At 48.5% G+C, this 27,121-nt stretch overlaps 1 long non-coding RNA gene across 2 annotated transcripts in view, besides 2 other annotated features; it reads left to right on the top strand.

Moving 5' to 3' along the window:
• LOC105378519 (uncharacterized) overlaps positions 1 to 27,121 on the top strand; it is a 79,804-nt gene that overhangs the window by 33,294 nt on the left and 19,389 nt on the right. Inside the window, exon 2 of one of the 2 annotated variants that reach the window (XR_946372.3) lies at positions 21,920 to 22,072. The exons of the other annotated variant lie outside the window; for it this stretch is intronic. This is a non-coding gene — a long non-coding RNA (uncharacterized LOC105378519). The remainder of the gene's footprint in view (positions 1 to 21,919; positions 22,073 to 27,121) is intronic. 2 annotated transcript variants of the gene reach the window in all.
• Positions 5,210 to 5,504: an enhancer, noted in NCBI's record as "tiled region #5528; HepG2 Activating DNase unmatched - State 4:PromP, and K562 Activating DNase matched - State 12:CtcfO". NCBI's record gives its function as "activates a minimal TATA promoter and a strong SV40 promoter by Sharpr-MPRA in HepG2 and K562 cells {active_cell/tissue: HepG2 | K562}" and the evidence as "EXISTENCE:reporter gene assay evidence [ECO:0000049][PMID:27701403]".
• Positions 5,236 to 5,305: an enhancer, noted in NCBI's record as "active region_4139". NCBI's record gives its function as "activates an Ori minimal core promoter by ATAC-STARR-seq in GM12878 lymphoblastoid cells {active_cell/tissue: GM12878}" and the evidence as "EXISTENCE:reporter gene assay evidence [ECO:0000049][PMID:35858748]".

Here is a 27,121-nt window from a genome sequence, read left to right as displayed (position 1 = left end):
AGAAAATGTGGCACATATACACCATGGAATACTATGCAGTCATAAAAAATGATGAGTTCATGTCCTTTGTAGGGACATGGATGAAACTGGAAACCATCATTCTCAGCAAAATATCACAAGGACGAAAAAACCAAACACCGCATGTTCTCACTCATAGGTGGGAATTGAACAATGAGAACACACGGACACAGGAAGGGGAACATTACACACTGGGGACTGTTGTGGGGTGGGGGGAGGGGGGAGGGATAGCATTAGGAGATATACCTAATGCTAAATGATGAGTTAATGGGTGCAGCACACCAACATGGCACATGTATACATATGTAACAAACCTGCACGTTGTGCACATGTACCCTAAAACTTCAAGTATAATATAAAAAAAAAAAAAGGATCATCCCCTTATCTCCAGCTCTGGTCTCCGGAGGCCCGTGTGGCTGGAGCAAAAAAGGCAATGGGCCGGTGGAGTCTTGTTTAGTGGGGACGCCGTGGTCAGCTCTGAGCTGTTCCTACTGTTCTTAGTGGAGGTAGCAAGACCCCCGTCTCTCCTGGTGGGTAGTGTGGATGTCGCACAGACAGAAGCTCAGGTGGCAAAGGGTCGTGGAAACTTCTGCACCTTCCAGAATACGTGGGTCCATGGACGTGGACCCACGGCCACGTTAAGGCTCATGTTCATTTGTTCAGTTCACTTATTTAATTCATTTGTTCAGTGGTTCCTTCATTAATTCAGTCAATAATATTGTCTTGAGCACTTACTGTGTGCCAGAACCCAAGGTCGGGGCTAAGGATAGAAAAGAGAACTCGGGAGGCTGAAGCAGGAGAATCGCTTGAACCCGGGAGGCGGAGGTTGCAGTGAGCCGAGATCACCACTGCACTCCAGCCTGGGTGACAGAGTGAGAGTCTCCGTCTCAAAAATAGAAAAAAAAAAGAAAGAAAGAAAGAAAGAAAAAGTAACAGAAAAGATGGCTTACAGTCTTTCTTGCCAGTCTCATGAGGCCAGAATATTTGAAAAAAGCATAAATTAAGATACACAGGATTATGAAACAAACCGATTATACTGTCATGCAGTTATCAAAATATTTTTAAGTGGTGCTATACTCGTATATGTTCTTCGTTGATAGAGGATGTAACAGGATCTACAGACCAATCTATTAACTACAGTCATTTCAAAATAGTGATTAGCCCAGCTGATATTTTGAGATAACTGCATCAACTACGACGTGATAGAAAAACAGCTGTGATTTCTGTTGGAGACAAAGTCACAGACACTGCTAATACACTGTGGCTTGTTGCCGATTTTCATAATTGAGTAAATTGTTAAATCTCAGACAGTGAAAATAATGATATAAATATTTTCCTGTCCAAGTTCATAGACCCCCCTCCTCCAGATTTTATTCACAGACTCCTCGATTAAAAAGCCAGATCGGTGAGCAGAAATAAACAGGGTGAGTGTGGACAGTGATGAGCACTTGGAGGAAATCAACAGGGAGAGAGACTAACGATAAAATCAGAAGGGAGGCCCTGTGTGGGATGCAATGGTCGGGAAACGCCTGGATGAGACCACAGTTCACTCTAAAAGCCCCATACAGAGGTCGGAAACAGCTACCAGGGACTCTGATTTAGCCTGTAAATCTGCACAGTCTTCTTGAACATTTAGATCTGGTGTTCAGGACTGGACTCGGCTTTTGACCACAAGGCCTCCCAATCCGGGAAGTCCAGGTCAGCCTCGTGGACATCCAGAGATTTCATCCCAGGGCACTGAAAGTGAAATCTCTGCCTGGGCCCTGAAGCCACTTGATTTTGCAACTTTACCACCTAAACTTTCCTGGGTCACTCTTGGGGCAACCCATCCAGGGCAAGGGTAGTTTGCATGGCAAATGGAACTTTCCAAAGTTTAACTTGAAAAAGATGGTCGGCATCGGTGTCCTATTTAGAAACCAGGCTCCTTCCAGCCTGGGGATCCCCTGAACCTTCCAGATCTTTATCCAACTTTCATTCAAGCTGTGATTCCCCGGTGCCCCTTCTAAGCCAGCAGCTGTGTGACATCTCTGTTCTCATCCACCCATTTCCAGGCAGCAGCGTGTTGGGGGTGGTTAGGGAGTGTAGTGCTGGGTCACAGGCAGCCTTTGTAACTGCATATGAACCAGTGTGGCAAGCTTGCAGGATGATGTCAGAGCTGGCACCGGCAAAGAACAACTTTGTTGACAAGAAGATTAATTAGACAAATGTAGTGCCCATCAGTTATTGCCACCGCCTCCTCGGGGGTCAGCTCTAGTCAGGCCTTTGCTAGAGATTTTTTTTTTCATCTTTTTAGAGAAAGCTTAATCTCCTAACAAGGCAGCCAAGAAACAGTTCATGGCGTGCCAGAAGAGCAAGTGCATACAAGCATGTTCTGAAGTGAGGGTGCCTGCACACCGCCAGGCTGCAGGGCTGGGGCTGGCCCAGGCTTGGAGCCAACTGGGCCTCTTCCTTCTACCTGTACAGACCCAGCCCCAGGAAGCGTGTTGAGCCCCGAATCCTTCCTCACAAGAGAAGACACCCATTTGTGAGCTCTCTTGGCCTCTCTTCCTCTCTTTCCTGGGAGAGCTGCCCCTTTCATGGAGGGGCGGGCAGACAGCCATGCAGGGTCTTCAGAGCTCGGAGGCTTCCGCCACCTACACCTTCCCTCTTTATCCAAAAGGCACCTGCCCCATTGTCCCATTGTGGGAAGAGGCAATGAATGAATTGCTGAGTGGTAGCGGCCTTATTCATCATTCATCAAATACTCAGTAGGTTTATGGGCATATTATATCCCAGCAACACTGCAGTAAAGGAATGATTCCCATGTATCAGGCCCTGGCCCTGGGGAAGGGGTTATATTCTAGAGGGGGAGGCATGGCAATGAGTAAAATAAATACTCCAAGAAGCTCATCTGCACCAGTGGTAAAGGCCAAGAAGGAGCTAGGAGAGGGGATGTGGTGTTGAGGGCCGGGAGATGGCAGCCATTTTGGAAAAGGTGCCCCTGAGGAGGTGAAATTGAATTGAAACTTGAGGAGGGAGAGAATCTGTGGGGAAGAGCTGACTTCCTGTTGGCTGCAGGGGACAGGAAACTGAGAGTGCCAAGGGAGGGGATGTTCTGTGGATATCTGTTGACTGCATGAATAAAACAAAATGTTTCCAAGCTGTGCTTCTCACACTTTAGTGTTGTGTTAGAATCCTTGGGAAGGAGGGTCTTGTTAAAACATAGATGTCCAGCTCCACTGATTCAGAAGGGCTGGTGCAGGGCCCAGAGAGCTGCATTTTAACAGCCCCCGCCTCCAGGCAGCCCTCCCAGTCCCTCCTGGAGCCCCATCTCCAGGCAGGCGCTCAGCCCTGGATTGCAGCCCTGTCTGTCTGTCAGGCCTACCTGAGGTTTCAGAAAGGCCTCACAGTCAGGCTCCCAGGGGCCCAAAGCCAGTGTGGCTTCAGTGGGACCAACCTGACAGCTCCTTATAACTCTAAGGCCTCCACCTCCCACTGGCCAGCAAGGAGCCCTGGTGGGCAGGGGTGGGGCCTGCTCTGTCTCATCAGGCTATGCCCTATCTAGGGCAAGGGGTCCCTGGGGCTGGGGATGGGCTTCCCCTGGATCCTGTACCCTGCCTTTTAGAGTCACGGATACCTGGAACCCTGAGCCAACCTCCAGGTTTGTGTGGGCCTCTCTCCCTGGGTCCATCATTCTTCTGTGGGTGATGGCTCAGCTGGAACTGGGTGGGGGCGTGGATATGTGGGGCTAGTGGGTATACACACCTGTACACACACACACACGTGTGTGCACTAAAAAGCCAAGTGGGGTGAGGCGTGAAGGGGGTAGGCTGCAGCCTGGCTCTCTGTGCTGCCTTTTTTCGAAAGTCAACTCCTCAGAATTCTAAATTCAAACCTTGCCTTCATGATGATGAAGATGTATTTACCAAGGTAGAAAAATTATGGGTTTTATCTTCTAACAACTGATTGGATTGGTAACCTTTTTTTTTTTTGAGACGGAGCCTTACTCTGTCACCCAAGCTGGAGTGCAATGGCGTGACCTTGGCTCACTGCAACCTCCACCTCCTGGGTTCAAGCGATTCTCCTGCCTCGGCCTCCCAAGTAGCAGGGATTACAGGTGCACGGCGCCGTGCACGGCGCCATGCCCGGCTAATTTTTTTTGTATTTTACTAGAGACGGGGTTTCACTGTGTTGCCCAGGCTGGTCTCGAACTCCTGAACTCAGGCAGTCCACCCGCCTCGGCCTCCCAAAGTGCTAGGATTACAGGCATGAGCCACTATGCCCGGCCCCGGATTGATAACTTTTTAATAATTGACACATGGTATGGGAACTTCGCTTTTATTCTCATCTTGGGCCCCCAGAATGTTAGGATGATTGGAGAGAGTTGCAGGGAAGGTACCAGAACCAAGGAATTTTCCCCGTGGATGAGAAGTATGATTCCAAGAACGGAGACTGTGAATTCCCAGTGTTGCCTGCCACCTATCTCTTCATCTTCACCACCCAGGCTTAACCTCCAGGCCAGAGATTGTCCAGGTCTGGTTGGGCAAACCACCCTCAGCGTCTGTTTAGCACGTGGATTCCAGGACCGCACCCAAACCTGATGAATGGGGTCCCTGGAGGTGGGGCTTGGGAGGCAGAATTTTCTGCCCCCTCCTGGTGACTTAGAGGCACCAGGAAATGTGAAATCCACGGTGGGGGAGAGGTGTGGGCCCTTCATTCTGATGGATCCACACTTGGAAACGAGGAGGGGGTTCTGAGCTTGAAGACCAGCTGGAGAGGTGCAGTCTGGGATTTATCTGCTGTCTCTGAATAGATGTTTGGGGACTCCAGGGTCACACATTTAAACGGAACTCCCTTTTCCAGCTCCATGTAGAGGGGGCTCTAAATGCAAGGGGCCCTACTTGGGAAACCTCTCATGTCCTTCCCACATCCATGAGTCCCTGGGGTTCCTCCTGCCCCCCAGCACCATGGAAGAAAGCTACCCTCATGTCCACTCGCCAATTCTCGTCTAGGAGGGAATGTAAAACTCAGCTTGGGACGGAGCGGAAAGGCCCATGCGTGTTCCTGAACTTACCACCAGCAGGAGGCCGCGGGCTTTTCCTCCCCTCTCTGGGCTGCAGTTTTCCTGGATGTAGAGGGGCTTTCAAGATGATACAAGTATCCAACTTTTAAGAAATACATTTCAGTGTAAGGCATCACTTCACTTTTCTTAGTCATTGGAGAGCAAAGGGATGAGGAAATGTCTTTCTTCTTTGGCTAATGGTTTCGGAGTGCTGAGCGACAGTTGAGAGAACTCATTTCAGCAGTGGGAGAAGCCGCCTGCCGGGACGCCATTTCCTGATCTCTGCTGCCCTCTGCTGCCCGGTGCCGGCTGAGACATGCCGATGCGACGCACAGGCCACAGCATCACAGAGCCGCGTCCTAAGACGCTGTTTACCAACAAGGAATCCGAGGCTCAGAATGGGCAGTGACTTCCTCCAGGCCACACAGCAGGTCACCAGAGCTCCTGCCTCCCTAGCAAGTCGGGGCAGAGTCCTCTGGCTCACGGAGTCTCCAAGCGTGGTCGCCAGACCAGCAGCATCAACCTCACCTGAGAATTTGTCTTTTGGGGTCCCACCTCAGACCTCCCGAATAATAAACTATGTGGGTGAGGAGCGCTCAGCATCCTAGTAAACTCTCCAAGTAACCTGAGAACCTTTGCTATCTCTTTGGAAATAGAAATCCAGAAGAGAAACAGACTTTCTTATCATATTGTCCATCTTTAAAACTGAAATAAGACATGGAAAAATGCAGGAGTCTGACTATTCGTTTTCATTTTCATGTTTAAAAAGGTCAGTGCTGTGTGAACATTCAGATGTCCACAGCTCACAGGTATCTTTTTTTTTTCTTTTTTCTTTTATTTATTTATTTATTTATTTATTTGAGATGGAGTCTCGCTCTGTCGCCCAGGCTGGAGTGCAGTGGCGCAATCTCGACTCACCGCAAGCTCTGCCTCCCGGGTTCACGCCATTCTCCTGCCTCAGCCTCCCGAGTAGCTGGGGCTACAGGCGCCGCCACCATGCCCGGCTAATTTTTTTGTATTTTTGGTAGAGACAGGGTTTCACCATGTTAGCCAGGATGGTCTCGATCTCCTGACCTCGTGATCCGCCCTCCTCGGCTTGCCAAAGTGCTGGGATTACAGGCGTGAGCCACCGCGCCCTGCCGCTCACAGGTATCTTAATCGGAACTTTGCAGCGGAGACTTCTCAGGAACAAATACTTAGAAAGTCTCCGTGGTCAGGTGATGTCTATGGAACTCCAGTGAGTGGTAACATGCCTCTGCTCTCGAGTAGGATTTCTGCATTTCGGGGACGCACATCTGATGGCAGACACAATCAAGGGCAGGGATTTCAACTTCGGAGACAATCCTGTTTTGCATTCATTCATTCATTTGTTCATTTAGCAACTGTTGATCGAGCATTAACTATGAATTATAAAGACTACGCTAGCAATTAGGGTAGATGATCCCTTGTTGAAATTACAGCCCGGGGAAGACAGCAGGCCAGAAATTGCACATAAAATGGATTAGCTCAAATTAATTAGTCACAATCATTAATGAGTGAAGGCTATGAAGAAGACATTCTGGGTGCTCCCATAGGCAGGAGGGCGCAGGGAGACGGAGGATTATGAAATGGTGATGACTCATCTTATGAAGGAGGCAGTCCCAGGTGCTATGGGACAGAGAAGGATGCCTCAAGCTTCACCTTCTCAGGTGTGTGGTGCAGATGGAGCTTAGAGGAAACACTTCACAGAGGCTGGGGATTTGTGGGCAGAGTCTTTTTACAATGAGAATTAAGCAAAATTTTTATTTTTTATTGCGGAATAATTGCTATTGTTACCATTTTTGAAAAATTGATTCAGTCTGGGCACTGTGACTCATACCTGTAATCCCAACACTTTGAGAGCTGAGGCGGGAGAATTGCTTGAGGCCAGGAGTTTGAGACTGGCCCGGGCAATATTGCAAGACCTCTGTCTCTACAAATAAATAAATACAATAAAAATAAAAATGTATTTAAAATCTGGAAAATATAGATAATACAGAGAAGGTGAACATTTGAAACCATCTATAATCCCACCATGTATACTTAACCACTGACAAGAGTTTGTGGAAGAGTCTTCTGGATTTTTTAATATTAATCCTTGTACTCTTGTATTATATTGGATTATACTATGCTATGTTATATATGCCATCATACTATTTTGTAGTTTGCTTTTTAAATTACAATGTAGCAGGGGCATTCTTACATGTTTATCGAGCACCTCCTCTGTGTGAGGCGTACAGAGTGTTCAGTGCTGGATGTACTCTGTCAACAAAGCCCATCAGGATGCTGTCCTTACAGATTTACTGGGTGTAATAAATGGAAAAGGGAAAACAGAAAGAACAAGGTACAGTGAGGAATAATAGCAGCAACCCCATTTGAACAGAAGGGTTAAGGGAAGCCTCTCTGAGAAATGAAGGATGTAGAGAAGTTACCCCGAGTGCCAGGAAGGGGAAGCCGACTGATGCAGGGACAGCATATCCAAAGTCCAGAGATGGGGCAGAGCTAGGCTTATCCCGAGGCGCTGATAGAAGGTGGGTGTGGCGGGAGGGAGGCACTGTTTGACAAGGGTGTGACAAGCTCAGGGCCCAGGCTGAGGCCGGTGTCCTCCTGTGGGACCCCCCAGGTAGACAAGCGCCTGGTTACAGAGCACGCAGGGCCTTGATGGTGCACAGCTTGGGGAGGGAATTCACATGCTCATCTCATTACAATGGAAATGCCTTATGGGGCTTTAAGCTGCCCGATGGCATGATTCAGGCTTTTAGTTCTCACCCAATACCAGGTGCAAATGATTTGGAAAGGAGCAAAGAGGGACACCTAGAGGCCTGTTAGGAGGCTTTGAGGAAGTCCAGGGCAGACGTGACGGTTCGAAAAACAAAATTTACATGTGCCTTAATGTTTTTAACGCCTAGGATTCCACTGTATAGATGCACTAGGATTGCTTTAAGCAACACTGGGGTGTTTCAAATTGCTACAAGTACATCTTTGCAGCTGAATTTTTGTGCCCATTCATGTTTGCCGGGCAAAATGTCTACAAGTGGAATTTCATAGCCACTTTAAAGACTTTATTTGTCTCACCAAATGATGCTATAAAAAATCTGTGTCAAATTGTACCCCCAGTAGGCGAGGGTCAAGGGCTTCCCTCACTGCTCAGGCCTCCTCTGGAAGAATGAGGAGTTCCTGGACCACCCAAGGTGCAGAGGGGCATCTGAGCAGCAGAAGCTGCTACCTGGGATGAATGGGGCCTGGAGTGGGGTGGGGTGGGGCTGGGAGGCTGAGCCCCGGGAAGCGTCTGGTGGGAGGGAGTGCCAGGCAAAGATGGGGGCATCATACTGAAGATGGCAGGGAGGCTTCGAAGGGCTGGGGCAGCAGATGGGGCAAGCTCTTATCTGTGATCAAGAGATACCCCCTGCCCACGCTGGAAGTGTGGAGGATGACTTCCAGGCACCTGGATTGGCTGGGTGGTGGGTGGAGTCATTAATTAGTCAGGGAAAGGGACAAGTAGGGAAAGGGGAGCTATAAAGGGATGTGCATCCAGAGCCCACGTTATTCTCATCCCCTCGGGGATGGTCCTCGGCCCCCAAGTGTACCCTGCACCATGTCCGATCACTGGGAGGGCCTTCTCTTCCTGAAAATATGGCTACTTAAGAAGACAGTGGCAGCGTTCTAGGGCTTCCTGTGTGAAAAAAAAAAAAAATCATGACAGAATGCAGAGATACTGATGGCCCAACAGCCAGGAGAGCATGCTATTGGAATCTGAGAGCTCAGGGAAGGAGGAAGGGAGGGGGGCAGTGAGTCTCTGCTCAGACGGAGCCTTAGAGGGGAGGCGCAGAGACAGGGTGGGGGCACGTGGGGCAAGCCAGAGTGGGCTGGAGCCTGGGAGGAGAGCAGAGGGGCAGAACTGAGGTGCTCATGGCCGACTCGCCTCTCTGAAGGGGCTGACGTCAGTAACAAGGGCCAAGGTCTCCTTTCCACAGTTGGAGCCGATAAGCATGGGAAGCCACGTTCCAGCCCTGTGTCCTGGACCAGGCATGGCCCCAGAGCTCAACCTCTGGGGGTGATAGGGCCCTTTGCAAAGGTTCTGGTGACACTGAGGCAGGAGGGCCTCCCTGAGGACAGTGGGTCCCATGGCAGGACCTGTGTGAAGCAGTGTGGGAGTGTTTCCTGGGAAAGCAGAGGAGGGGCCGAGGCTGGACACACACCAAGGTCTGGGGGTAGGGGACCTGAGAAAACTAGCACCCATGTGTGCACCGCACTCCACAGCTTGCTAGCTGCTCGCAGAATCTTCCATCTCACCAGCACCAGCATTACCATCTTGTTAAAAGTAGAAAAAATGGAGGTCAAATAGGCAAGTGCCCAATCCAGCCAGGAAGTGACAGAGGACACCACTCCAGGTATTTTGTTGCTAGATTTCATGCCCTTTCTCCTGTCCTGTGACAGGTCCGGAAAACGGGCCCAGATGTGTGTAGACATGTTGCTCGGAAATCGTCCTTTCTAAGCTATTGGGGACTTTGGCAAACGGGGTGGCCATCAGGGGCTTAGTCCCATCTTGGTCACCATCCCTCCACCAGGAGGACAGGGGAGTGCAGAGCGAAATGAACTCAGCTCTGGCTGTACATTAAATCACTTGGGCTGCTGTTCAAACCTCAGATGCTCAGGCCCCAGCTTTCAGAACTCCACCTGAATAAGGTGGTGTGGTCATACTGCTTTAAACAAAATTCGCACATACAACTCAGGTGATCGGGAATGAGGCAGAAACATCTGGGCCACTACTCAAGAAGCCCCAAGTGTGTCCAGGATGGGCCCTAAGTAGTACAGCAAGACCAAGATGCCCTAAAGTGTTGCTCATATGTCAATTTTCTTGGTGTCTTAAGATAGTGAATAAAAGATGCACCACAGGCCGGGTGCGGTGGTTCACGCCTGCAATCCCAGCACTTTGGGAGGCCAAGGTGGGGGTGGATCACAAGGTCAGGAGATCGAGACCATCCTGGCTAACACGGTGAAACCCCGTCTCTACTAAAAATACAAAAAAATTAGCTGGGTGTGGTGGCGGGCACCTGTAGTCCCAGCTACTCGGGAGGCTGAGGCAGGAGAATGGAGTGAACCCGGGAGGCGGAGGTTGCGGTGAGTCGAGATGGCGCCACTGCACTCCAGCCTGGGCGACAGAGCAAGACTCTGTCTCAAAAAAAAAAAAAAAAGAAAGGTGCACCACAATGCTATGCTTATTTTTATTATATCAAAGTCACAAACTGTCAATACAAGGGCTGATGTTGGTCCAGAGATATATTTTGTTTGGCTTACACTGGATTTTTTTTTTTAGTCAAGCCAAAAACTGGCTATTTCACCTAGTTATTTGAATTTCTGGCTTCTTTTGAAAGATCAAGGGATCTGACACTCTGGATCCCAATTTTTCTGTGCCAAGAGTCAGCTGGAGCTTCATGGCTGATCCTGGTCTTTGAGAACCTGCAGCCCTGGAACCCCCTCACACAGGGTGGGCATAAGTGCTACACTTTGACCATCCCCTCACACTCTGGTTGCTCCACCCCTACCAGCACTTGATTTTCTGACTTGCTCTAGATCCCGTGGATCACAGTCATCCATAAAAGAAAGAAGTTTGGGTTCATCTCAACCTAGCCCGTACTCCAATCCAGCTGCACAAATCAAGGAGCCCATTGGCTCTGTTTGTGTGACACCAGAAATGTGTAAACATTTCATTCAACCCCACAAACCAGCCAAATGACGCCAGCCAAGTAGCCAAAAAGACAGCAGCACTGCGTGTTTTTATTTTCTTAAATATTAGAACCACAAACACATCCAGAAAAAAAATAGCCCTTGACCTCAACATTACTGGTCACCTCCACACTTGCTGTTATGCACTGTGTTTCATCCTTTTGCTCATTAGCGGAAGATAAACATCATGAAAACCTGTGGAAGATTTGACAGAGACTTGCTTTCCTTTGGTGAGCTGGGGAGAGCATACCTTACTTGGCCATTATAGCAGGGCATGGTGCAGCCTGTAGGCCACATAGATAGGGCAACGGGGCCTCTGGAATCTTACCTCCATCTTCAAGAAGTGGCCAAAATGTTTTTTCCTGGGTTTACAAGAGGTGACTGAGAAGCTGAGAATCTAAGTGGAGCTTTTAGTAGACACAAGGAGTTTGGAGGGCTCTGTAAGGCTACACTCTAAAAAGTGCACCAGAAATAGGCCAAACCTCACAAAGGTCAATGCCTAGTTCTGAATCATCTCAGGTCCTATTGGATTTAAGTAACCTGGGGTTTCTAATGTTTAGCTGCCTGCAAAAAGCAAAAGTAAATCCTCTCTGGAGGAAGACAACATCATCCAAATTCTCAAATTAAATATAATTTTTAAAATGTTAGTATTTTAAAATACCTGGTGCAGTGGCTCATACCTGTAATTCTAGCACTTTGGGAGGCCCAGGTGGGCAGATCATGAGATCAGGAGTTTGAGGCCAGCCTGGCCAGCATGGTGAAACCCCCGTCTCTATTAAAATATATATATAAAAATCAGCCAGGCATGGTGGCACACACCTGTAGTCCCAGCTACTTGGGAGGTTGAGGCAGGATAATTGCTTGAACCTGGGAGGTGGAGGTTGCAGTGACCCAAGATTGCACCATTGCACTCCAGCCTGGGCAACAGAGCGAGACTCTGCCTCTCTCTCTCTATAGATAGATTAGATAGATAGATAGATAGATAGATAGATAGATAGATAGATAGATAGATGATAGATAGTGTCTGACAATCAAAAATGATCAGGCATACCCAAAGGAATGTCACTAAAACTGACAACTGACATTTCTATAGAAATAGCAGAAGCTAGAAGACAATGGAATAGCTCCAAAGTGTTGAGAGAAAATAATTCCCAACCCAGACTAGCCAGTGAAAACAGCCGTAAAGCAGGGGGGTGACAGATTGTTGTTTAAACTGCGTGATGTGTCCATAGAGGTATATTACATTATCTTCTCCATTTCTGTATGCTTGAGATTTTCCATAAAGGAAATGAAAGCAAAATGAAGCAAAATGAAGACAGCTAAGGCAAGCAAAAGCTGCAAGAATTTATTAACAGTACCAAAGGAAATACAGAAAAGTGTTCTTCAGGCAGAAGGGCACTAAGCTTCCAAATGGCAGCTGAGAGATGCAGGAAGGTCTGAGGAGAGATAATGTGGGCGAGCCTAAAGGGGTATTCACCAAATAGAATCATAATTATTATGTCTTGAGGGAGTTTTGGATGCATAAAGAATTAAAATACACAATAACAATTGCACCTAAACCAGAAGAGGGATAAACAAAACTAGAATGTTCTAAGGTCCTTTTCACTTGTCTGGAAAGTGGAAATACAGATTTACATTAGGCTTTAATAATAAGTCAAGGACAAATGATGTAATCCAACACATAATCACTAAGTATATAGAAAAGAATCTATAAGCAACAAGATAATAGAGTGGAAAATGGAATAATAAAAAAAAATACTAATCCAAAAGAAGACAGAAGGGAAAAGGAACATCAAACAGGTGAGAAAAATTGAAAGTAAATAATAAGATGATGGATTTAAACGGAACCACATTAGTAATACCATTGTATGTAAATTGTCTGATCTCCAGTTGGAAGACAGAGCAAATAAAAAACCAAGAACCCAGTTACTTGGTACTTAGAAGGGACACATTGTTAAGGATAGAGGAGGCTGAACATAAAACAATATAAGCACATGGGAAAAGAAAAATAAGTGTGGTTGTGCTAATGTCAAACAAAGTAGACATGAAGGCAAGGAGCAAAGACTGTAAATATGGGTGACTTACAGACCTGATGGTCTTGTCCTTACCCTCCAGTAAAAACATGGCTGGTGGGCTGGGCACAGTGGCTCACGCCTGTAATCCCAGGACTTTGGGAGGCCGAGGCAGGCAGATCACCCTAGGCCAGGAGTTTTGAGACCAGCCTGGCCAAAATGGTGAAACCCCATCTCTACTAAAAATATAAAAATTAACCTGGCGTGGTGGCATGCGCCTGTAATCTCAGGAGGCTGAGGCAGGAGAATCACTGGAACCCAGGAGGCAGAGGCTGCAGTGAGCTGAGATCGTGCCACTGCACTCCAGCCTGGGCGACACAGCAAGACTGTCTCAAAACAAACAAACAAACAACAACAAAAAACAAACAACAACAACAACAAAAACATGGCCAGTGAATGTCCAGGACCCCAATTTGTCAAATCACGAAGCAGGTGCATGGAGACCTGGAGTGTTCAACACTGTAGAAAATGCTGGAGATGGTGTGGTGGGCAAGACTTGTCCATAACTTACCATCCAGGTCATCACAGACAGGCCAATGAGTGGTACATTATCGTGATGGTAAATGTTAGGTGTCAAATGGATTGGACTGAGGGAGGCCTCGATGGCTGTGAAGCATTGTTCCTGGGTGTCTATGTGGGGGTTTACATAAGATTGTGATATGATTCAGTGGACTGAGGGAGGAAGACCTGCCTTCGATGTGGGGCCACCATGCAATCAGCTGGGGCCTGGCTGGGACAAAGCAGGCAGAGGGAGGGGGGTACCCAGCTGGCTCTCGTTCTTCTCTCTCTTTCTCTTCTAGAGTGGGATGCCATTTTCTCCTCTTGCTCTTGGACATCACTCTAGATCGTTCGGCCTTTGCTGGGCTTGCACTAGCAGTCTTCCGGGGCTCTCAGGCCTTCAGCCTCAGACTGGGGCTGCACTATCAGCTTCCCTTGCTCTGAGGCTTTTGGGCTTAGACTGAGCTGTGCTAACAGCTTCTCTGGTTTTCCAGCTTGCAGACTATAGTGAGACTTCACCTTGTGATCATGTGAGCCAGTTCCCCAGAATAAATCCCCTTTCATTCATATATACATACTATTGGTTCTGTCCCCCTGGAGAAATCTGGCTAATACAATTATTATGTAGAGAAGCAGATCTTGTGGTAAGCTCAGGGGTGTGGGGCTCAGAGGTGGGCTCCTGATCCAGATAAGGGGAGGCATTGGGGGGTGGGCACAAAGCCTCAAGGATGTGTCCTTGTTTGTCAGACAGATGAGCCAGGCAGCTGGTGTTTCAGACAGCAAGAGCAACACTGTGATTGTGCTGTGGGTTCAGAACCACGTGGGTTTCAGGCCCATTTCGAGGGGTACAGATGGTAGACACTGAGCAGGACAGGTTGCCTGGCTCTGGATTTTGGGCGGATCTTTTATGCCATTCAAAAGTGAATTCTGGCCATGGGGGCTCGAGACCTAGTGAAAAGTTCTGGACCAGGAAGCTGCATAGTTACATGGATTTATGGGAGAAACTGGAAGGGTAGAGTGGCTTCCTTAAAGCATGGAAGAGAAGCAAGGGAGGGATTTCTTCATTGCTGAAGTTCATAAAAGCACAGTCAGGCAGAGGCAGGCAGAACACAGAGGAAAACCTATGATTAACAGGCTTGAGAATCCCCAAATACCACATCCTTTACTTGGAGGGGTACAACTTGTATTTGGCATATTAAAGGCTCTGAGAAGTTCTGCAGTAAGAAAGCCATTTAATTATATTTATGTTGGCAGTTCCCAGACATATTTGATCATGATGCTTTAAAAATGTTTATTAATATTTTGCAGGGCATTACAGTTCCAAGGAGCACAGATTGGAATGTATTGGCAAAAGGGATTCTGGGCTCCAGAAAGTTAGAACGCTAAAGCCAAAGAGATTCCCTGACTCTGGAACCTTCCCCAAGCCACCATCATGGGTCCAATGTCTTTGACAAGCTGGACGTTCCCCAGGCTATGAGTTTGGGACTTGCTGGGTGTTCATAGTTCCCTCTGATCAGCAGCAGACAACAGAAAGAAATGCCACCAAGCCTGGGAGGGCTGCTGAACATGGTGATGGAGGCCGAAGGTACTGAGCCTGTGGTGTAAATCTGGCTGCAAATGGAATTTCTAAGTCCAAAGGTGCAACTGAAGGACATCCTTTTCTTTTTAGAAAGTGGGTCCTTACCTGACAAGGACTCCAAGTAAAACAAACACAAGCAAAAGGCCTCCTCCTAGCCACCCTCAGCCAGAAAGAAGGACAGGAGGGTAGAGTTAGAATTCTTAGTCTTTTGGGCAAAATGCAGGGGGATTATCTCTACAACTTGAAGAGGACCCAGAAGAATTCTGGGTCCTCATTTTTGTTCATTGGAGGTGGTTAGCTTCCTAGAGCTGCCGTAACAAATGACCACAAATGTGCTAGCTTAAAACAATAGAAAACTGTTCTCTAGCAGTTCTGGAGACCAGGTGTCTGAAATCAGGGTTGGTAGGACCAGGCTCTCTCTGCAGGTTCTAGTGGGGGGACCCTCCTTGCCTCTTCTTAGCCTCTGGAGGTGACTGGCAAAACTTGGGATTTCTTGGCTTATGGCAGCACAACTCCAATCTCTGTCCCACATTATCAAATGTCCTTCTTCCCTCTGTGTGAGTCTCTGTGTCCTCTTCTCTTCTTGTGAAGATAGGAGTCATTGCATTTCATCTCAAGATCTTTAACTAATTACATCTGCAGTGACCCTATTTTCATGTAAGGTCGCATTCTGAGGTTCCAGATGGAGGTGAATTTGGAAGGGATACTATTCACTCCACTACAGGAGAGTCAGGTGTTCCAGAGTCCTGATTGTCAGCTCAGGTGGACGCTCATGTCTGTGGCTCAGGGTGTGGGAGGATGGCCCTGGGAAGGTCCATCAGAGGCCGGGCCTGAGGCTCACCAAGCATCGCGATGACTTTATGAAAAGCCACTAGCCGCTCAGTTCTCAAACACAGCATTTCCATTCATAATCCCACTCATGTATACGAGTTAAGCTGCCTCAACCACTGATGGCTTAAAGCCTACTGACTCTAATGAACATAAGGGTCAATCTGATGACCGAAGGCCAAAAGTGCCATTTGCTTGACAGGCCCAGGCCACAAAGGGAGGTTTTCCCAGGAGTATATTCCATGTCATTGGTTCTCCAAGGCACAAGTGCCTCCCTGTGTGTTCAGATGGGAGCTGGGTCTTCACGAACTTTCAGATGAGCCTTTGCCCTCATTCTGGCAGCTGGACAGTGAGGTCAGGCCACTCTGTGTTAGTCGGGACTTGCTTCTCCACTTAACATTCTAATGACCTCAAGTGGTTTCACGTGGTCTAATTCACACCCAGCAAGACTCTCAGCCAGCCTCACTAGGAGTGGCCAACATCCAAGTTGGTCAGGGTAGGAAAGGAAAATGGGAAGGAGGAGATGAGAGTAGGGGTGGGCCAGGAAGCAAATGCAAGGAAACGGAGCAACCTCTCTGGAGCTTTCTTAAATTCTCATCCCCCTGCAAGTGCAGGCAACATCCTGACTGTTTATGGTATCTTAACAGTCACAATGCTTCCGCCTGCAAGCAGTGTTACAGCTTTATTTAAACCTCATTGGTGGTTTATTTAGTTTATTTATTGAATCTGATCTCACCAGGATTCCTGAGTAGATCAAACAGTGGAAGGTGGCCCTGAGCATGACAATCTCTGAGACCAGCGTTGGAATGAGTAGTGGCCACTGTGACCCTGTCCTCATGAAGAATGACCCTGGTGCCATTGTCAGGAGCGAGCACTGTCATTTGCTGGCCTTGTAATTAAAAACAGAGCCACCCCCAAGGTAGCAGGAAAAGAATCCTGGTTCTAAAGCCCAGATGCTGTAGACTGATGTTTTGGTTTTCAGCCAACATGTTCAGTTTCATTTCCCCTAAAGCATCTGCTATTCGTTCAAGAGAAAAATAAGGACAGAAGAAGCAGCAATGGCTTTCTTTGGTAGTTTTTGTATGAAAGGAAAGCACCCCAAACCAAAATGGTATAACTTGGTCCAGTGTTGCAAATAGATTTACTTGGAATGTCCAAAGTCCACGGCGCAAAAAAGTTTAAAAATGTTTTGAAAACTGCATTCTTTCCAACAGAGCATGGCTAAGAAGACAATCCTTTAATTCTGGCCCCTGCTGGTTTCTGGGCCTTCCTGTCTCATTTGCTGACCGAACTCAGCTTCCCCCTCCTGCAGGAAGAGAGCACTTGTGATTCCAGCATCACTGGGGATCAGATCCTTCTAAATTCTCCCTCCTCTGGAAAGCTGGTTAGAGTGGAAGTGGCTCAGACCAGGATGTCAGGCAGGGCTTTGACTTGCATCCCAAATTTGTCACTTAATTGCAGCACAACCAACTGTCCCAGTTTGCCAAGGACTGTCCTAGTTGAAAGTCTGGTGTCCTAGGAAACTCCTCCTTTTGGGGCAATCCAGAATGGTTGGTCATCCTGGTTTTCTCAACCTCTCTGAGCCTAGTTCACTCCTCTGTGAAGTGGGGTGATCGTGGCTACCCTGAAGCTCTGAGGATCATATGGCGCATGGTTTGGCAAGGGTGACTCAATGGAAGCTTCACTCCCTGAGAGTCTGAGGTTAGGGGGATGCCCAGCAGGACACCCACTCATGGGTGCTCTCCCATCCGGGTCACTTGGATGTTTTCCATCTGTGATGTATTTTGACCTGGCCCAATATCCTTTCCATCCCCCTGTCCCTCACCTACTCTCTAGCTGCTTCCAGTGGGGCACCTGTGTACATCCCCAGGAGAGAGACAGGCAGGGCACTGCCAGGAAACTGGGTCTGTGGACTGGGGGATGAAGCATCTCTGGGGACTAGGAGTGCCTCCAGATGTCCTCAGGGCCATCTCCAGCAAGAGGCAACAGGTTCCTGGTCCCAGGGTCCTGGGGAGTTCCACCTGGGACACTGCTTCTTTACCAGGTCCCAAGGCTTGAAAGCAGATGGTGAGTGAAGTTAAGAGACACCCCTTCATTATTGGCAGCCACATAGGTTCCAGCAGAAGGAGAAGAGGGTGATGAGCTACACAACCATTCACGTCCAAAGTCTCAGTGAATGAACCTCAGTGAATCAGAAAATGAGGCCAGGAGGCCATAATCTAAAGGGAGGATAGTTTGGATTGAGGACCTGAGCTTTCAGCACAAGAACTTACCACAGTGGATGGGCAGAGTAGCTCCCAGTGTCCTGGTCGTTCCCTGGCCTTTTCCTCCTGGTGCCATGGCTGTGCCTTTGGGACATGGCTGCCTGGTATAAGTCCAAAGGGCTGATGTCCAGGCTGGGTGCGCAGACCTGTATGTGCTTGATGGAGAATCTAGAAAAGACTGCGCTGCTGAATGTCCCAAGTCATCACAATTTAGAAAAGAATAGCATCAAACCCTTGCATAGCACTATGCGCCACACACTGATATGAGTGTTATCACTCAGCAACCCTATGGGATAAGTACAGTGTATGATCCCCCATTTTGCAGGTGAGTAAACTGAGGCACAGAGGAATGTGGCATGTTGCCTACTTGTACATAGCTCATAAATGGTGGAGCTGGGGTTCTAATCCAGGAGGCCTAATTCAGAATCCAGAGTTTCAATGCCTACACTAGACAACCAGTCTGATGTGGGGGATCTCTGGAGTCATCTTACTGTTACCTAAAGCACATTCTGGTGATGGAAGTTAAGAGTAATACAAGGGACAGCCTGGGAGGTAGTGAGCAGCCCATCATTGGAGGTGTGTAAGCAGAGACAGGATGCCACTTGGAAGGGACCATGGCAAAGCTGAGTCCTCTTACCCTGGGAATCCTAAGAAACAAAAAAGAAGGAAAGTTGTGGTTGCACGAATTATTCAGAAGCTTTTAAAGGCTCAGAAATCTCATTAGTGTGTTTCTGTTCTCAGGGTTGCTTTTGTTTTGGTTTGGTTTGATTTGGCTTACGTGTTTTTGTTGTTTTCTTCCCCATGAAACTTCTAGGCTTGGAAAAAAATTGTCTGATGGTCTCTCAGCTTCGTATATAGAAAAGATTTAGTTTCACTCTGGGAAAAGACATTAAATCCTTTAGCGTCAGCCAAGGTCAGATCAGTTGAAAGGGAGCCCTGAGGCTGTGCTCTGGAAAGAAACCATCTGTCTCCATGGTTGAGGTACTAGCCTCCTACAAGGCTTAGACCCCTGGATCCTCCCTGGTACTGCAGTGCTGGGCCTTCCAGAAATCCTATTGAGAGAGTGGCATCGTTGCTCTGTTGCCTGCTTAGAAAGGCTTTCTAGGCCGGGTGCGGTGGCTCACGACTGTAATCCCAGCACTTTGGGAGGCCGAGGTGGGCGGATGACGAAGTCAGGAGATCGAGACCATCCTGGTTAACACGATGAAAACCCGTCTCTACTAAAAATACAAAAAATTAGCTGGGTGTGGTGGCGGGCACCTGTAGTCCCAACTACTCGGGAGGCTGAGGCAGGAGAATGGAGTGAACCCAGGAGGCGGAGCTTGCAGTGAGCGGAGATCGCGCCACTGCACTCCAGCCTGGGTGACAGAGTGAGACTCCGTCTCAAAAAAAAAAAAAAAAAAAAAAAAAAAAAAAAAAAAAAAGAGAGAAAACAAAGGCTTTCTGTAGCACACCCAGCAAGTTCCTGTGCTTCTCGAGCAACTGTGCCCACTCCTAATCCAGCATGGATTCCATGGGGCATTCACAGCATGAACGGAAGGGAGGGAGAGAGGGAGGGAGAAGGGAAGGGAGGGAGGGAAAGCAAAGAGGGGAGAAGGAAATTCCTCAGCAAATGAGTTTAGCTAGTATTGGCTGAAACACATTTAAGCAGGTGTCTTTATGGTAGGACTTCTCAGAGCCTTTGAAGTGCAAGCGTGCACTGGGAATCTCTGAGGGGAGACATTGAATGCCCTGTTTTCCCAGCTCATTTGGTTCCTATCCCATTTGTTTTTTCTCAGGAATATCTTGTGGGACTAGTGTTTCACGGCATTTTCTTTTGAAATGCTGGGAAAATAATATGTTAACCTTAAACTGTCACCTCTGGATTCTGATCTTCCTTCTGCACAGATACTCACTCCCACAAACACTGAGCCCTTATTGTGAGCCTACCAGGGGCTGAATAGGGATCTAGGGAGATCTCAGAAGGGACCTGTTTCTCCCATTGGTTTACTGAGCTCCATTCGGCCAAGAGGTAGGGCTTTTACAGCACAAATAGTGACAGGCAACATTTTTCTGCCAAGCTGTATTCTAAGAGCTTTATGACTGCAAGAGGGAAGCACTGTCATTAAGCCAATTTTGCAGATGGGGAAACTGAGGCATGGCAATGGCAGAGCTGGGAATCACCTCTGGGGGTCTGGCTCCAGGGCCTAGCTCTTCACTGCCTGGGGAGCCACAGCTCAGGCACTCACAGGGCTGCCGAGGGGACACGCGTGGGCAGAGTGAGCAGACCAGGTAGTGGGTGAAGGACTCAGTTCATCCCTCTATTCTATACCCCACCCCAAACACACATACGTTCTAGAAACAGAAATACCAGCTTTTCAAGACAGAGATTGCTGCTCGGTTTCATACCTGCCTACAGATTTGAGAAAAGAAAACACAAAACAATGACACATCATTTTTCTTCCTTGAAAGTACTTTTTTCTGTATTCATCGCTTCAATAAATGTTGTCAGACTAATTAAACACTGCAGTTATTAAGTTTTCTGAGAATTGCACTTAAATCGAACACCGTGTGCGTTTGCTAAAGGAAATGGAATCTGATGAGAAGAGGGGAGAGGACTAGTCCTGTTATATGTGCCGGGAAAAAAAAAAACTTTTTTGAAATGTAATTAGCCTACACCTGTTGGTCACCTTTCTAGAACACCGCAGACAGTCAGGGCACTTGTCATGGCAGAGTCAGGTGGGAAGGCCTCTGGTGCCCGGGGGCTGAGGACTCAGGCTGGTGCTGGCTGGTCTCACCTGGTTCCGCTGAGCCCTCCAGAGGCCCCAGCTCTCAGCACAGATGCAGACAGACCCTTCCTGGGCCAGACCAGTGTGACCCTATCAGTGACCCTTTTGGGGACCTAAATGTGTGGCTGCTCACATCATCATGTGGGCTGAGGCTGTTTCAATCTTGATTCAACATTCAGTTCCCCTCTCTGGCTTTTCCCCCAAACCGAATCACATTAAGCATTTGGTGGATTTCAGAATTTCACTAAGGCTTTGTAAAGTCCCGAGGAGAGGCCTATGTCACAGTTTATGGCATTCCTGAGAAAGGTCCCCATTACCTGTGCATCTCCTTCCAAGGCAGCTCAGTGTCATCACAGCAACCGTGCTGATTGCCGACAGAGCAGGGCAAGCACCAAGCTCTGACAACACCCTGGAGGCTGTGGGCAGCTCCTCTCCAGTCTCCCACCCCAGCAGGCTGAGACGGTTCTAAACGAGCCCTGCAATCTGGAAACGGTGCTGCAGAACCACTTCCCTGCTGTAGCTGCTGCAGGACTCCCCTCAGTTCCGATCTTTTCTTTCCCCTCCCTGAGTTTCCCTCTGCCTGCCATGGCTTTGCCACCTTCTTGAGCTCCTGGGGCTCTTCGGACCACACTGAGGCTGGTTCCTCTGCAGGAGGGACCCTGGCTGGATCCCCTCGCTGAGCTCACACCGGGCCCTCAAGTGGCATGTGCCCTCCCGCCTGCTCACTTCTGCCCCACTGTCCATACTGCCTGCAGGGGTCTCCTCTCCTGCTGCCAGCCTCTGGCCGGCCCCCTACCTGCAGGGCTGCTCCCTGGCCCCCTTCACTTACCTACATCTCCTCCCACCTCCCCAGAACTGCTGCCCTCCCCACTCAGTTTCCATCCAAGCCCCAACTCTGGTATTCCCAATGACCCCAGCTGGCTGCTCTCCACTGCAACCCTGCATCCCCCGACAGGGGTGGTGAGTCCCTGGAAGAAGGTGGTGGCTCAATAAGTACTTGGAGCTTGGTGGTTCCCATGGATGGGATGGGGCTGGGGGTCCGGTCCGGGGGTGCAGGGATCAGGGGCATAAGGCAGCAAAAGGACTGGAGAGACTTTGTTTCCCAGGCAGGAGGAGACCTGCAGAGGGTGAGATTCTCAGGGGAGGAACTGCCAGAAGCCTAAGAGCCTTTTTCCAGAGCTGCCTCCAGGAGAGAAGGTGATCTACCTGGCTCCGGATCAAGTCCTTTCTGCTCAGAACAAGCTTTCTGCACTTGTAGGGTGGGTGATTTTAGAGATTTGGAGAGTCAATCTTTGCTTCTTTCCTTTTTTCTCTCTCTCCTTCCCAGTCCCACCCACTCTAATCCCAGCTCCTGTTTGTCCAAGCCCCTCAAGCAAGACTCTCTTTAGTGAGTGAAAGCTGACAATGTGAGTCTCAGCCTCCTTCCCAGGAGCAGCTAAGCTGACAGATCCTTGATCTTGAGAAGCCCTCGCAGCTCCCTTCTCTGACTCTCAGCCACCCCTGGAGGGAGACCCTATTATCGGGAGACCCTATTATCACCATTTTACAAGTGAGGCTCAGGTGATAACTTGTCCAAGGCCAGGCAGCCAGATTGCCGGGAAGCAGGTGTTCCCAGCGCCGCTGCTTTCACCCTGTTCCACATCTCTGGTCCTTGTGTTTAGAACCATTCTTGAGTGGGTTTGCCAAAGGCAAAAAGCAAAACCAAGGCTTGGCTGACAGTTACTGAGGCCCTCTGAAATGTGCATTGGCAATTCCAGAAACACAAGCTCAGATCAGATCCTTAGCATTTAAATGAACTTATGTCAGGTTTGCTACAATATGATCTGCTGGAACAGCTTTCTAACTCCTTAACGGGATGAGGTATATTTTCCTTGGCCTATTCTAGGCAAAGATCAGCAACTTCAAACAAGGAGCTGTTCTTCAAATAAATTCCTCATTGATACACATTTTTGAAGAACACTGGGAAGTAAAAACCTGGAGGACTGAATTGTGTTGTTGGGCAGATAGTTCTTAAGAAAATGATCTGCATCATGTCTGCACAAATCAGCCTTAAGAAATCTCTTGTTTCTTAGGATTCCCTCCTTTCCTTCCATAACGTACCTGTGCAAACATAGTGGTTTGCCAATTTCCTCCTTGAATTGTCTCCATTGGATTATATTGCAGACTTGTCCATTTTTCACTTCTAATTATTGTTCTACTTCCTGGCTCAGCTCTGTGGGATTATTTGAAGCCCCAGTCATTGGGCCCTGTAGGAGTCCCTGACCTGAGATGCACTTCCCAAGAGGGAGGTACGTGGGTCCCTGCACCCCATGGATTCTCTTCTACGACAGTAGTGCATGCCACTTATTTGGGACATAAATATTTTTTCATCTTCTAGCCTGCCTGAAGTATTTTGGCTTAAAAATGATGGTAGAATGCAAAAGATTGGAATAAAGTGAAGATCTCATAGCAGAACGTGTTCAGAAGTATCTGGAGTAAAATGGAGATTTGCTTAAAAATATTTGATAATGAAACGGCACTTGGAGTTAAACTTTTCAATCATCTGTTGATGCCTTTGACCTCAGATTTATCAACAATAATGTGTCCGGAATTGGTGGGTTCTTGGTCTCACTGACTTGAAGAATGAAGCTGCGGACCCTCGCCGTGAGTGTTACAGCTCTTAAGTTGGCGCGTCTGCAGTTTGTTCCTTCTGATGTTTGGATGTGTTCAGAGTTTCTTCCTTCTGGTGGGTTCGTGGTCTCCCTGGCTCAGGAGTGAAGCTGCAGACCTTCGCGGTGTGTGTTACAGCTCATAAAAGCAGAGTGGACCCAAAGAGTGAGCAGTAACAAGATTTATTGCAAAGAGCAAAAGAACAAAGCTTCCACAGTGTGGAAGGGGACCCCAGCGGGTTGCCACTGCTGGCTCGGGCAGCCTGCTTTTTATTCTCTTATCTGGCCCCACCCACATTTTGCTGATTGGTAGAGCCGAGTGGTCTATTTTGACTTGGCGCCGACTGGTGCGTTTACAATCCCTGAGCTAGACACAAAGGTTCTTCACGACCCCACTAGATTAACTAGATACAGAGTGTGGACACAAAGGTTGTCCAAGTCCCCACCAGAGTAGCTAGATACAGAGTGTCGATTGGTGCATTCACAAACCTGAGCTAGACACAGGGTGCTGATTGGTGTGTTTACAAACCTTGAGCTAGATAGAGTGCCTGCTGGTGTATTTACAATCCCTGGGCTAGACATAAAGGTTCTCCACGTCCCCACCAGACTCAGGAGCGCAGCTGGCTTCACCCAGTGGATCCCGCAAAGGGGCTGCAGGTGGAGCTGCCTGCCAGTCCCGTGCCGTGCGCCCGCACTCCTCAGCCCTTGGGTGGTCGATGGGACTGGGCGCCTTGGAGCAGGGGGCGGCGCTCATCTGGGAGGCTCCGGCCGCATAGGAGCCCATGGAGGGGGTGGGAGACTCAGGCATGGCCGGCTGCAGGTCCCGAGCCCTGCCCCGTGGGAAGGCAGCTAAGGCCTGGCGAGAAATCGAGCTCAGCGCCGATGGGCTGGCACTGCTGGGGGACCCAGTACACCCTCCGCAGCCGCTGGCCCGGGTGCTAAGCCCCTCATTGCCCGGGGCCGGCAGGGCCGGCCGGCTGCTCCAAGTGCGGGGCCCGCCAAGCCCACGCCCACCCGGAACTTCAGCTGGCCCGCAAGCGCCGCGCGCAGCCTCGGTTCCCGCTCGCGCCTCTCCCTCCACACCTCCCTGCAAGCTGAGGGAGCCGGCTCCGGCCTTGGCCAGCCAAGAAAGGGGCTCCCACAGTGCAGCGGTGGGCTGAAGGGCTCCTCAAGTGCCGCCAAAGTGGGAGCCCAGGCAGAGGAGGCGCCGAGAGCGAGCGAGGGCTCTGAGGACTGCCAGCACGATGTCACCTCTCAATAAGACTAAGGTCAGCCTGGCGGATAAACCTTGGAGTCTCCTGGGCCCATTCCCATGGCAACATGGGCCTATGAAGAAGCCAGATGGGACGGAGCTTATAACAACAACCTTCTAAGGAGGTAGGTTCTAATGCACCTAGCTGCAGAAAAATTACAAAGGACCTCATACCAGTCTGTAAACAATACGGCAGTTAGACAGCTGAGATTTCATCACCAGGAAGCATTTCGACCCTAGAGAAGGAGTTATTGAACTATTTTTCTGTAAAGGCCCAGAGAGTAAGTATTTTAGGCTTTTCAGGCCACTTGATTCCCTTCTAGCTTTTCAACCCTATCATTGAAAACAGTCAGACAATGAACAGGTGGGCACAGTTTTGTTGCAGTAACACCATATTTCTAGAAAGAGGCAGGGATTCGGGCTGCCGGCTGTGGTTTGCTGACCCTAAACCTGCAACATCACTGACCAGGAACAGGAACAGGAACAGCAGAGGCCGCATCGTGTGTAGCTTTTCTCGCTCTGCTTTCACGTCGGCTGCCTTGCTTCAAGTGGTGGCTCACGCCTGTAATCCCAGCGCTTTGGGAGGCCAAGGCGGGCAGATCACGAGGTCAAGAGATCGAGACCATCCTGGCCAACATGGTGAAACCCTGTCTCTACTGAAAATACAAAAAAATTAGCTGGGCATGGTGGCATGCCCCTGTAGTCCCAGCTACTCGGGAGGCTGAGGCAGGAGAATCTCTTGAACCTGGGAGGCAGAGGTTGCAGTGAGCCAAATAGCGCCACCGCACTCCAGCCTGGCTACAGAGCGAGAGCTCCGTCTGAAAACAAAAACAAAAACAAAACAAAACAAAAAATACCCTAACTGCAAAGCGAAAATTGACCCCTCTGGTTACATTTTGTTTTGGTTTTGGTTTTTGAGACAGAGTCTCGCTATGAGCCAGGCTGGACTGCAGTGGTACGATCTAGGCTCACTGCAACCTCTGCCTCCTGGGTTCAAGCGATTTTCCTGCCTCAGCCTCCCGAGTAGCTGGGACTGTAGGCACATGCCACCACACCCAGCGAAGTTTTTCTATTTTCAGTAGAGACAGGGTTTCACCATGTTGGCCAGGATGGTCTCGATCTCTTGACCTTGTGATCTGCCCGCCTCAGCCTCCCAAAATCTGGTTACATTTTTAAGGCAGTGATTACTGAGGATTGTCTTTTTATCTGTTCTTAAATTCTCAACGATTTGTTCAAATCCTGTCTTTCTGAAGCAGCCCATCAGAGCCTCTTTTTTTTTTTTAATTATACTTTAAGTTTTAGGGTACATGTGCAGATTGTGCAGGTTAGTTACATATGTATACATGTGCCATGCTGGTGCGCTGCACCCACTAACTCGTCATCTAGCATTAGGTATATCTCCCAATGCTATCCCTCCCCCCTCCCCCCACCCCACCACAGTCCCCAGAGTGTGATATTCCCCTTCTTGTGTCCATGTGATCTCATTGTTCAATTCCCACCTATGAGTGAGAATATGCGGTGTTTGGTTTTTTGTTCTTGCGATAGTTTACTGAGAATGATGATTTCCAATTTCATCCATGTCCCTACAAAGGACATGAACTCATCATTTTTTATGGCTGCATAGTATTGCATGGTGTATATGTGCCACATTTTCTTAATCCAGTCTATCATTGTTGGACATTTGGGTTGGTTCCAAGTCTTTGCTATTGTGAATAATGCCACAATAAACGTACGTGTGCATGTGTCTTTATAGCAGCATGATTTATAGTCCTTTGGGTATATACCCAGTAATGGGATGGCTGGGTCAAATGGTATTTCTAGTTCTAGATCCCTGAGGAATTGCCACACTGACTTCCACAATGGTTGAACTAGTTTACAGTCCCACCAACAGTGTAAAAGTGTTCCTATTTCTCCACATCCTCTCCAGCACCTGTTGTTTCCTGACTTTTTAATGATTGCCATTCTAACTGGTGTGAGATGGTATCTCATTGTGGTTTTGATTTGCATTTCTCTGATGGCCAGTGATGATGAGCATTTTTTCATGTGTTTTTTGGCTGCATAAATATCTTCTTTTGAGAAGTGTCTGTTCATGTCCTTCACCCACTTTTTGATGGGGTTGTTTGTTTTTTTCTTGTAAATTTGTTTGAGTTCATTGTAGATTCTGGATATTAGCCCTTTGTCAGATGAGTAGGTTGCAAAAATTTTCTCCCATTTTGTAGGTTGCCTGTTCACTCTGATGGTAGTTTCTTTTGCTGTGCAGAAGCTCTTTAGTTTAATTAGATCCCATTTGTCAATTTTGTCTTTTGTTGCCATTGCTTTTGGTGTTTTAGACATGAAGTCCTTGCCCATGCCTATGTCCTGAATGGTAATGCCTAGGTTTTCTTCTAGGGTTTTTATGGTTTTAGGTC

This window comes from Homo sapiens, chromosome 10, assembly GCF_000001405.40.
Source record: "Homo sapiens chromosome 10, GRCh38.p14 Primary Assembly".
Classification (NCBI taxonomy): Eukaryota; Metazoa; Chordata; class Mammalia; order Primates; family Hominidae; genus Homo; species Homo sapiens.
Note: the sequence above shows the minus strand (reverse complement) of the source record. Positions and strands in the feature narration are given on the sequence as shown.